The sequence below is a fragment of the Homo sapiens genome, chromosome 7, assembly GCF_000001405.40.
Source record: "Homo sapiens chromosome 7, GRCh38.p14 Primary Assembly".
NCBI classification, from domain to species: domain Eukaryota; kingdom Metazoa; phylum Chordata; class Mammalia; order Primates; family Hominidae; genus Homo; species Homo sapiens.
In genome coordinates this window covers 7994722-8007745 of record NC_000007.14, presented here as the reverse complement: position 1 = coordinate 8007745, position 13024 = coordinate 7994722, and the positions used below count along the sequence as shown (strand labels likewise).

Here is a 13024-nt window from a genome sequence, read left to right as displayed (position 1 = left end):
AGACACCCTCCACCAAGGCCAAACAGCCCAGGTGTTTAATGTCTGTAGCAAGCTGAGTATACCACCTTCCTTCCACCAATGTCCACTACATAATTCCACTACATAAATAAAACAAGTTCTTCCCACCCTAAGAGTTCAACAGTTAATCCAGGAGAAACGGATGTCGCCATAAAAAGTATCTCATATGTTCATCTCTTGTATCTTCAATTAAACTAATAAATGGTTAGGGAAGGACCATTTCTTATGCTTGTGAGGCAAGAAGTAGGTTAGTAGTTAGTGGTTGCCATAAAAGGCAATAGACAGCTGAAGAAAAAAAAGGAAACGCTTTAGAATCAGCCAGGTCTGGGTTCACTGTCCTCACGCTTAATACGTACTACGTACATATTACATAACGATGTACTACGTACGTAGTACATATTACATAACGATGTAATATGTATGTAGTACATATTAATGTACAGCTATGTAATGATGTACAAATTACTTAACTTCTCTAAGCCTCAGGTTCCTCATCTGTAAAATGAGCCCTATATTTTACCTTCTTTTCAATGTCAAACTTCTCAAATAAATGACCTACATCCAGATAGATGCAAGCCAGACAAGCCCTTATCCTGGACCTCAAAATTCAGGAGAAATTCCTCTGGCCTTCTAGCAGCCATGCCCCTCCCCATGGGATAAGAGACCTTGGGAGCAAAGAGCATGGACGTTATGAGCCCATGCCTGGCTGTAGAATATACTCCAGGTAATCTAAAACCAGGAATTTCCTGAACAAACAGCAGTAGGCTTGGCTTCTAAGGTCTGCAGACCCATTCCCTGGTTCTTGCTTTTTGAGGATGGCACTTGAATGTGAGAACTGGTGGGTCCAAGTGTATGTGTAAAGCCAGCTTAAAGTACAGAATAGATTGTAGGGTAGGAAGAGAATGGGACTTAGGCTCAGACGAGGTGGGCCTAATGGGCCTGGTGGGCCTGCCCCATGTGGACATATACCGGCATGTAACTCTGAAGAATCTGAGAATTCTTAGTTTAAACCTCATCTTCCAGGTCCATATGAAGATTATTTGTCATTGGGTAGTGGGGGGAGGACAAAATGTATTTTACTCAATAATTTGTTCATTTAACTTACGTACATATAGTATATTGGTCTTTATATTTGCTGCAGACCCTGCAAATGTTACAAGCGGGCATGTCTACATATACTACTACTAACTTAAATGTGTATATAGTATTTGCCAAATTTACCTTCAATATTATCATACTTAATCACACAGTAATATTATGGGTTAGGTTTTATTAACCCCACTGCACAGATAAAAAATCAGACATGTGTAAGAAACATATCCAGCGTTCTTTCCTTCTATCTCCACATCACTCTCTTAACTCTCAAATAGTAGGGTCTCCTACTCTGGCATTATCTCCAATACTGCACTCTCCAAGACAATGTGCCTCTGATCCCTAAATGTGGTCCTTAATCACCATGACCTCTCTTTAGCATCTGATACTGTCAACAATTTTTTCCTTTCTTAGAATAGCTTTCTCCTCTGACTTCTAAGGCTTCACTATTCCAGTTTTTCACTTAGCCTTTCGCTCTTTCTCTGGCTTCTCTTCTTTTTCAGAATTTTTGTGAAGAGCGAATAAGATAATATTTCTGGGCCAGGAGTGGTGGCGCATGCCTGTAATCTCAGCACTTTGGGAGGCTAAGACAGGTGGGTCACCTTTGGTCAGGAGTTCGAGACCAGCTTGACTAACATGGTGAAACCCCATCTCTACTAAATACAAAAACTTGGCTGGGCATGGTGGCAGGCACCTGTAATCCCAGCTACTCAGGAAGCTGAGGCAGGAGAATCACTTGAACCTGGGAGGCGGAGGGTGCAGTGAGCTGAGATCACACCATTGCACTCCAGCCTGGGCAACAAGACAGAAACTCCTGTCTCAAAAAAAACAAAACAAACAAACAAAAAAAAAACTAGATAATGTTTCCCTCTCGATAGTGTCAGCACATAGCATTCATTTCATATGTTGGTTTGGTAATCTAAAAAGAATAGCTACCATTTTTTAGTGCAGTGTCACAGCACTAGGTACATACATACATATGTATGTTTGTATTATCCTATAATCCCAGTTCAGTAATAATAAAAATGGAGCTTATATTGGTTAACAGATTAGCCTGTGTTAGAAATCTGGCTCCAACACTTTCTAGCTCTATGCTCCTAAATAAATCATTTAAGTTCCCTGAGTGACTGCTTTTCCATCTGTGTAATGTTGCAATGGTCTTTTGAGAATTAAATGAAACAGGTTATAAAACAAACAGTACACGGTACACAGTTAATAAATATTAACTCCCTCCTCCTCTTGCTGCTTTCAGATGAATATATTAGTTTTTTTCTTGTGTGTGTGCACCCTTCCAAAAACTAAGTCCTCCATCACTTGACCTTCTTCTTTCATACTCTATAAGTACATTTTTTTAAATTTTTTTCTTTTTAAAATTATTTTTAAATTTTATTTTCTATACCTACATTTTATCATATTTGTGAATCTAACTCCTCTAGAAGGATGGTTCTGAATTAATTATCTGTGTCCAGATCTCTAACTGTCCAGGCCCACACCTCTAAGTTTTGCTAGTTATTTCTATTTGGAAATTCCACTGCCTGCCATATTAAACTTATCCTCTTCCTCACTAAATGAAGAATGGAAATCAAAAGAGTAGAGCAGCATAAAACATTACAAGGACAGAACTGATGAGACAGATGATAAAGAAGAAGCCAATTTCACAGTTGCAAGCTTGCCTGAGAAAATGACAAAACCTGAGAAGCAGAGTTTTACAGATCATGTCCAAAACTCTCTCTCTTTTCCTCAGTCTTCGGACATGAAACTCTAATTATTCTATTTCCCTAACCTACAAAGCCCAAAATGTTCTCTTTCCTTTGAATGCCCTCACATTTACATACTCCATTCATCTAACGTCGAATTATACACTGTCTTCTTTTACCAATTTTTATAAATGTGTATCTCATCTACCTAACTGTGCTGCAGGTTTTTTAAAACCAATGACTATCTCTTATATTTTTAGTATTCTTCTTTATGCCAATAAATGCTGATTGACTACTGTTATGAAGATATGGTCAAGAACTCAGATAATCATGAATAAAGATGTTTTCAGATTTTTTTTCTGATGTGGAGGAAAAGCTTTTCAAATCAAAAGCTTGGAGATCCTTCCAAAAACAGGGAAAATGAGACAGTTAATTTCTATTTCCCTCTGAAGGCTTTTAGTCTTGGTTTTAAACAGAAAAAAATAAATTCTCCAACATAGATTTCATTAGGCATTTGTTACTACTTTATAAATTATTTTCAAGAACGGTGCAAACTCTTCTTAAAAAATTATATTTTCTAAAATGGTTACCAGTCATTTTAATTTGTATTGGAAAGCAATTCTTAAAATTACAACGTGTCTACAACCATGTAATATAGACTGATGTGCTATTTAAGTATTAAAGAATTTCAAAACTTCTAAAAGCCAGATGACAAAAAACAATTACTGCAAAGTTTATTTAAAACAATGGATTTTTCCTTTCTTCCTTGGTTGGATGTATTTCAAATTTGGGGAAATTTGATTATATTACATTTTCTTTACTGTGATCAAAACAGAAGAAGTGCAGGGTAATAAGCTGATTTTGATTTCCTGATTTTACCTGAGTAGCTTTGTCTTTCATGCATGAAGGGTAGTGAACATGAGGATCCCGTGGCCACTGTCCTGTGAGGTAAGGTCCTGTTATTGTATCCAAAGAGGAGGTTCGCCTTATTGTACTAGAGGTCCGAACTTGCTGAGATTTTGCCTTGTCCGCTACAGAAAGTGAAAAAAAAGATTAGTCATTAGTGAATAAAATAAAATTTAAAGTTATCTAACTTCATAGTTTGTAGAATGTCATCCTGTCAATTTTTCCTGTGATATATATATTTACACTAATAGCCCTGTTGTATGATCAGATGAAATGTATGAACCATGTCCCAAGGAAAATACATTCATGTTAAATCTCACATACATTTCCAGGGCTCCCACAGACCCTATGAAGCCTATCCATTTTATATAAATCTGCATATCATCTCATTGCCATTATTTTAATTAAGACTCCCATTCATGTCTCACCTGAACTGCCAGTTTTCTAACTGCTATCCCTGTATCCATTTCAACTAAATTTTACAGTGTCATACCCAAATAGAAAACATTTCCATGGTTAGTCATTGTCTTTAATTTAAAGCCTATATTATTTAGTATGACATAATAAGCTTTCACGATTTGGGTGCCATATACCTCAATGCCTAATATCTTACTACTCCATAATCCCATGCTAAGCGTCACATGAATGGCCTGTGTTTTTCCAAAGGTAAAATACATTCTTTCTGCCTCTGTACATTCTACTTCCTGAGCCTAGAACTCTCTTTCTTGTTTACTTGACAAACTCATTTATCTTCAAGACCAGTTCAGATGTCACACTGCCTCTGTGAAAGTTTCCCTAATGCCCTTTCCTCTCGCCTTCCTTCTAAGATATACTTGCCTGTCTCTGCTTTCATGGCACCCTAAGCCTGTTTCTCTCTCCCATCACAACATAAGTTTAAACCCTACAGACTAAATAGGAACCAACATTCAATACTCACTTAATGAATTTATTCAGAGCTATACAAAAATAACATGTATAAATAACTTTATATTTTAATTCAACTTCCTCATTCACAGACGAAGAATTTGAGTCCTAGAGGAATACTGAACAAGAGATGCAAACAAGGGACAGAGGTAAAAAGAACCCAAAATCTACAGACATTATACACAGTTCAATCAATCTGCCATAACAAACTATGATACTTCTCCTTCCCATAGGGGTATCACAAGAATCTCTGTTAAAAATTAATCACACTGAACACCAAATCTACACAGATAACTATAGAGGATTCTCCATATATCTATCCTAAATAATTTACTACTAATGTGCATTCTGTGATAGAATCCAACAGATTTACAGGTTCCCAAGGCTAACTCTTTTCAGAGTCATATCTCACATCAAACAAAATGCCTTCCTCTTTACAGGGGGTGAAGAAACATTTATTATTGAATGCTGTCCTTCACCTTCCTGAAATCAGAATACATAGTTTACCAGAAAAACAGAAGAAAATGCATGTTATCATATTAGGCAGATAATAGCTTAGAACTGCAGTTTTTATTTTTTCCTTTGACCCAAGAATTGATAGAAAAGATCTGAAAATTACCAGATTTCCTCTTTATCTGTATTACTTTAGCTCTAATTGTATTATACTGAAGGCAGAGAATCTAATGGAACCCATTTCTACTCATTGGAATTACCTGAAATTTTCCCTGTGACCAAAAGCATGGTCATTTTTTATAAACGTTTCATGAATTACAGAGAAGATATTTTGTTTTCAGAATATATAGTTCCTTGTCTTATATATCAATTGAATTAAATTATAGAATATAGGAATAATTATCAGTTTTATCTGTTACAGACTTAGAAGAGTACTCTAAAAGCTTTAAACTACTATTGAGTTCTAAAAATTCTCTTTATTTTTTGCACATTTTTGACCTTTATATTTTAGTTCTATATTATTTAGCACATATAGATTCCTTTTTTTTCCTTTTTTTAAAAGTATACTTTAAGTTCTAGGGTACATGTGCACAATGTGCAGATTTGTTACATAGGTATACATGTGCCATGTTGGTTTGCTGCACCCATTAACTTGTCATTTACATTAGGGATTTCTCCTAATGCTATCCCTCTCCCAGCTCCCCACCCTATGAGAGGCCCTGGTGTGTGATGTTCCCCTTCCTGTGTCCAAGTGTTCTCATTGTTCAATTCCCACCTATGAGTGAGGACATGCAGTGTTTGGTCCTTGCGATAATTTGCTCAGAATGATGGTTTCCAGCTTCATCCACATCCTTGCAAAGGTCATGAACTCATTCTTTTTTATGGCTGCATAGTATTCCATGGTGTATATATGCCACATTTTCTTAATCCAGTCTATCACTGATGGACATTTGGGTTGGTTCCAAGTCTTTGCTATTGTGAATAGTGCCGCAATAAACATACGTGTGCATGTGTCTTTATAGTAGCATGATTTATAATCCTTTGGGTATACACCCAGTAATGGGATCGCTGGGTCAAATGGTATTTTTAGTTCTACATCCTTGAGGAATCACCACTGTCTTCCACAATAGTTGAACTAGTTTACACTCAAACCAACAGTGTAAAAGCATTCTTGTTTCTCCACATCCTCTCCAGCATCTGTTGTTTTCTGACTTTTTAATGATTGCCATTCTAACTGGTGTGAGATAGTATCTCATTGTGGTTTTGATTTGCAGCCAGAAGAGAGTGGGGGCCGATATTCAACATTCTTAAAGAAAAGAACTTTCAACCCAGAATTTCATATCCAGCCAAACTAAGCTTCATAAGTGAAGGAGAAATAAAATTCTTTACAGATAAGCAAATGTTGAGAGATGTTGTCACCACCAGGCCTGCCTTACAAGAGCTCCTGAAGGAAGCATTAAACATGGAAAGGAACAACTGGTACCAGCCACTGCAAAAATATGCCAAATTGTAAAGACCACCGATGCTAGGAAGAAACTGCATCAAATAACAGGCAAAATAACCAGCTATCATCATAATGTCAGGATCAAATTCACACATAACAATATTAACCTTAAATGTAAATGGGCTAAATGCCCCAATTAAAAGACACAGACTGGCAAACTGGATTAAGATTCAAGACCCATTAGTGTGCTGTATTCAGGAGACCCATCTCACATGCAGAGACACACATAGGCTCAAAATAAAGGGATGGAGGAAGATATACCAAGCAAATGGAAAGCAAAAAAAAGCAGGGATTGCAATCCTAGTCTCTGATAAAACAGACTTTAAACCAACAAAGATCAAAAGAGACAAAGAAGGCCATTACATAATGGTAAAGGGTACATATAGATTCTTGACATCAACATTACAGCTTATATGCATCATATTATAATTTGTCCCATTAATTATTTTTGAAATTTTATGATACTGAATATTATGACCCCCTTCTGCTTTCTTTCTGTTAATTTACATGGTATGCCCATCCTAAAAGATTTTTTTATGTGTATCATAAAACAAAGTATGTTTTTATACTTTTTGAAAAAAACATTGTAGCGAGCCTTCTGGTTGTAAAAGGTGAGCTTATCCCACTTATATTTATTGTTATAAGAAATTTGGTTTAATTTGTCATGTAATTTTTTCCTATTTTGGAATGTTCCTTGCTAATTGCTTTCTGTTTTATTGTTTGTTTCTTCTCCCTTTATCTTTACCTCCTCCCCACATCATAGGTAACTCTGAAGATACATAAACTGTTTCTAGTTCTATTAATACTACTAGAAGTTATTTATATTAACTTTTTGAATATTTTTCCTGGTTATAAAGGCAATACCTACTAATTTTAGCAACACTGGGAAACAGAAAATTAACATCTCCCATTATCTGATTTATAGTAATTTGTTTAAAATTTTAAAGTTTACTTTAAATTCCTTCCACTGCGAAGAAACACAAGACAACAAACTGTTGAGAGGCAAAGCCGACATTTATCAGTTGACCTCTAAATTTAAAAGGCCTATATAAAGGTCAGCTATAACCAGATAAGGAAACGCCATTCTAAGTGAATAACTTGAGCCTCTACTTAAATTGCTCCAAACAATTTGAAACGCTGTATGTAGTCCATTTAATTATTAAAACTCCTTTTAGTTTAGTAAATAAACAATAGGAACCATTTTAATGGTTTTTTTGAAGGGGTGGTGTTTATTTTATTTGTGTTTTCTACAGACGGTCTAGTTCTGTCACCCAGGGCTAGAGGACAGTGGCATGATCACAGCTCACTGCAGCCTCAAACTCCCAGACTTAAGTGATCCTCCTGCCTCAGTCTCTTGAGTAGCTGGGACCACAGGTGTGCATCACCACACCCAGCTAATTTTTTAAATTTATAGAGATGAGGCCTCACTATGTTGACCAGGCTGGTCTCAAACTCCTGGGCTCAAGCGATCCTCCCACCTTGGCCTCCCAAAATACTAGGAATACAGGTATAAGCCACCACTCCCAGCCTTGTTCTTTTTAGACACAGGGTATTGCTCTGTCACCTGCCCAGGCTGGAGTGTACCGGCGTGATCGTAGCTCACTGCAGCCTGGAACTCCTGGGCTCAAGCTATCCTCCCACGTCAGCTCTACAGTAGTTAGGACTATAGGTGTGCACCACCACATCTGGCTAATTTTTAAATTTTTTATGGGGATGGGGTCTCGCTGTGTTGCTCAAGATGGTTTCAAACTCCTGGCCTCAAGCAATCCTTTCCCCTTAGGCTCCCAAAGCACTGAGATTACAGGCATGAGTCACAATACTCAGCCCATTTTAATGTTTTATAATGAGTTAAATATATAAACAATCTATAAATGAGTCCCTTGGTCTGTATAATAATATTCTAATCTATACTTTTACTTATTTACTCTATATTTACTTAATTTTTCTTTTATTATATTTTTAATCATTGAATCTTTATCTATCTCTTTAAAAAGATCACATGCTCTACACTTAGTGTTCACTTTCTATAACTACTCTGTCAGAACTATGGTCTTCAAATTATTTTTACTAAGTGTCCCTATTGGTAAATATATAGGCATGCAGTAATGTGTAGCTGCTTATTTATGAACTGGATATCTATGATATTGCTAATATTTTATATATTATAAAACAGAAAAATAGAAATGTATATGTAGAAAATAAAAAATAAAAATACAGAAATTATATTTTCTTTCTGTATCTCAAAAAATAAATTTTGGGGGGCAACAACCTATTCAACAACCTATTTAGAGACATTAAAAGCTTGACTATACACTCTAGAAAATATCCTGCTGCAAAAAAGTCAACCAATTCTTTGAAATCTGTAATTAGCAGCTAAACTTTTAGATCTAATAAATTTAAACATGTAGTCAGCTCCTTCAAAAGGTCAGTAGCTATTAATAAATTAAGTTCTGGCCATGGCAATAAGAACCTTAAAACCTAAATACAAAACACTCTAAGGTAGAATGCTTAGGAACACTAGAAAGTAAGAAAGACAAAGTACACTATAGCTTCTTTGGAAAAAGACCCAACCACGCAAACAAGGCATTTTGCATGCAAATAAAAGTTAAAAGTAGTTACAATAAAAGCTACCTCCTGAGCCTGCACGGTGGCTCACACCTGTAATCCCAGCACTCTGGGAGGCCGAGGTGGGTGGATGACCTGAGGTCAGGAGATTGAGACCAGCTTGGCCAAAATGGCGAAACCCTGTCTCTACTAAAAGTACAAAAATTAGCTGGGCGTGGTGGAGGGCGCCTGTAATCCCAGCTACTCAGGAGGCTGAGGCAGGTGAATTGCTTGACCCGAAAGGCGGAGGTTTCAGTGAGCCAAGATCACGCCACTGCACTCCAGCCTGGGTGACAAGAGCGAGACTCCGTCTCAAAAGCAAAACAAAACGAAACAAAACAAAAAACAACAACAACAAAAAAAAAAAAAAACAAAAAAAACTACCTCCTCAAAAATGTAAGTCTGAAAAAAACAAAGTAGGTTCTCTTACAAAATGAAAGTGCCAGAGTAAAATTAAATCAGACTGCTCTAATATATGTTAAATGTAGATTTTAATAATTTAATTTCATTAAATAATTTAACCCTAAGTCTGAAAATTTTTATAAACTAGCTATAATATTCTACAGCTACTTTATTTATTTATTTATTTATTTATTTATTTATTTATTTATTTATTTATTTGAGACAGAGTCTCACTCTGTCACCCAGGCTGGAGTACAGTGGTATGATCTCGGCTCACTGTAACCTCTGCCTCCCAGGTTCAAGTAATTCTCATGTCTCAGGCTCCCGAGTAGCTGGATTACAAGTATGAACCAACATGTCTGGCTAATTTTTGTATTTTTTGTAGAGACAGGGTTTCACTATGTTGGCCAGGCTGGTCTTGAATTCCTGACCTCAGGTGATCTGCCTGCCTCGGCCTCCCAAACTGCTGGGATTACAGGTGTGAGCCACCATGCCCAGCCTCTATAGCTACTTTATAAAACCTTTATTTTAACAGGTAGTCAGTGAGTTTTTCATGATGTTTAACTTCACTTATTCATATTAATTCAATCTTCATTGAAATCAAAATACCAAATTCATCAAGATCAGACTGAATACAAGACATTAAGTTGCTTTTCTTAAACTTCAAAATATCTGGAAATGATATAGTTCTTAATCTACCTGAGATCAAAAATAGCCATAAATAAATACAGGTGTGGAATTTTCCTGCTATTGGTTCACTAAGGCTAAGCATAAATTTCCTAAAGCTCAATTTTATTAGTAGAAATTTACTTCATTAATTCTGTAATGAGAATACCTTGAAAGCTATAGTTTTTAATGTATTATCACTACTAACATTAAGTAATTTTCTCCTTGCCTTGCAGTTATAGACAATGATTTTCAAAATAAATTTAAAAAAAAAGGTAACAAAATAACTGAGAATACAAGATATGGAAAGGTGACTGGTATGTTTTTCTACCCAATCTAATGTACATTAATATTTATCATCCAATAGAATTATTACTAGATTTAGTTTTCCTAAGTTAGCATAATCTAAGCACTTCAACAGCCATTAATAGTCTTCCTCCTTGACATATAAAATGATGAAACATTAGCCAAATACATAGGCCACGTAAAATAAAATCACCAAATTCAAATGAACTTCAGATAAGTGACAGGAAGGACACAAGTTGTGAATATGCTATCTGAAATAAAACCAAAGAGCAAAACTGAAGCTCTCTCAGTGTGGGTAGAATCTGAAATACTCATCAACCAAACCTGGAACCCTACCACAGAAGCAATCTAGAAAACATGCAGAAATGACCATATGGCTGCCCTGCAGAATCTGGAAAGAAACCAATCAAGAAGCTGACAAGAGAAACAAACATGCTTCTGACCAAATGAGGCCTGACAAAACTCTGTAACCTGAGGTCCATCAGGAAAAACAAACAAACCAAAAAATGCAGTCAGGCAGCTATTTGGGCATGATTCTCTAGGTTACAGCTCACCCAATAAACTTATGTCAAATGACACATAAGACATTTAGAAGGAGGCCTTCAGTCTATTTTCAAAGAAAACTCAAGGGAGTATCTTTGCATCAAGGTTGAAAAGAAAACTTCACTAATATGGCTACAAGAAGCCTGGTAACAAGCACTGAAAAAGTACACAACAAATTAAGATGGAGCTCTGATATTTGGAATACTTTTTTTTTTTAATTACATATATGGCAAAAGATTTTTTTAAGTTCGTTTTTTTGGGAGGTGGCAGAATGATAGTCCTTTAACGAACTTTAGCAAAGTAGTAATTAGTAGAAGGAGATTCATCAGCCTTACAAATTTCAAATGAATTCTGTTAATGAAATTCCAAACATCTAAAATCCACTATGACTAATGAGTTCATATACTAAAGAAGTAATCACAAAGTATTAGCAACTACAAAAACAACTAAAATAACTGACCAAAGGTGGAAAGTCATATTGTAAGCAAAAGGAACACAAATATTCCTACTCAGAAAACAATATTTCACAAAATTCTGTGAATTTAACTTCCAGTTAAAGCACCACAGCTTGGAAAATTTTTTATGAAATGAGACAGGCTCACTATTACATCTCAATTTATAAAGAAAAACTGTTTTTAACAAGAGCACAACAACAAAGGTTATAAAATAGGCTCTCTTTTTTTCATTTTTATTTTTTTTAATTGAACTTAAAATTTATTTTATTTTTTTTATTATACTTTAAGTTCTAGGGTATATGTGCACAACGTGCAGGTTTGTTACATATGTATACATGTGCCATGTTGGTGTGCTGCACCCATTAACTCGTCATTTACATTAGTTATATCTCCTAATGCTATCCCTCCCCACTCTCCCCACCCCACGACAGGCCCTGGTGTGTGATGTTCCCCTTCCTGTGTCCAGGTGTTCTCACTGTTCAATTCCCACCTATGAGTGAGAACATGCGGTGTTTGGTTTTTTGTCCTTGCAATAGTTTGCCGAGAATGATGGTTTCCAGCTTCATCCATGTCCTTACAAAGGACATGAACTCATCCTTTTTTATGGCTGCATAGTATTCCATGGTGTATATGTGCCACATTTTCTTAATCCAGTCTATCATTGATGGACATTTGGGTTGCTCTGTCACCCAGACTAGAGTGCAGTGGCACGATCTCGGCTCACTGCAGCCTTGATCTCCCAGGCTCAGATGATCCTCCTGCCTTAGCTTCCCGAGTATTTGGGGCTACAGGCACATGCTACCACGCCCAGCTAATTTTTGTATTTTTTGTAGAGGACGGGGTTTTGCCATATTGCCCAGGACGGTCTGGAACTCCTGGGCTCAAATGATTTGCCTACCTCAGCCTCCTAAAGTGCTAACTAATATTACTGGTCAAACACCTTGATAATTAAAGTAGGGAATAATTTCCTCAATATAATGACACATAGGAAAAAGCATTTTCCCTCAAAATTTGCTTTTTATTTAATAAGAAATAAAGGCAACAAATAGAAAAATATTCACTCTTCTAGTAGAGGATACTACTAAAATTTTTCACTTGCTTTTACTTGGGATTGATGTCCATACATACAGAAATACACAGACATACACAAAACACAAACACATACACTCACATGCTCTCCCTATTTGTCCACGTAACAGTTTCACTTCAAACACTGATACACAAACACAAACACTGTTAGTGTATTAAGTGAAACCATTACCTGGACAAATATGGAGAGTGTGTGAGTGTGTGTGTGTTTGTGTGTATCTCTATGTATATCTATGTAATATATGTAGCATTTTCTGTCCATTAAATAGAGTAATAAGTCAATATTCAAGACTGTTCCTTATATAGAAGTTTTGTCAATGTATTCCAACAATATGAAGATGCTGGCAGAATAGATTTTAACGACA

General features: G+C 36.1%; 1 protein-coding gene across 1 annotated transcript in view; it reads right to left on the bottom strand.

Moving 5' to 3' along the window:
- The window catches only part of GLCCI1 (glucocorticoid induced 1), a 120285-nt gene that overhangs the window by 81335 nt on the left and 25926 nt on the right, over nt 1–13024 (bottom strand). The window contains exon 2 of the mRNA NM_138426.4: nt 3687–3838. Coding sequence (NP_612435.1) covers nt 3687–3838 — 152 coding nt within the window. The remainder of the gene's footprint in view (nt 1–3686; nt 3839–13024) is intronic.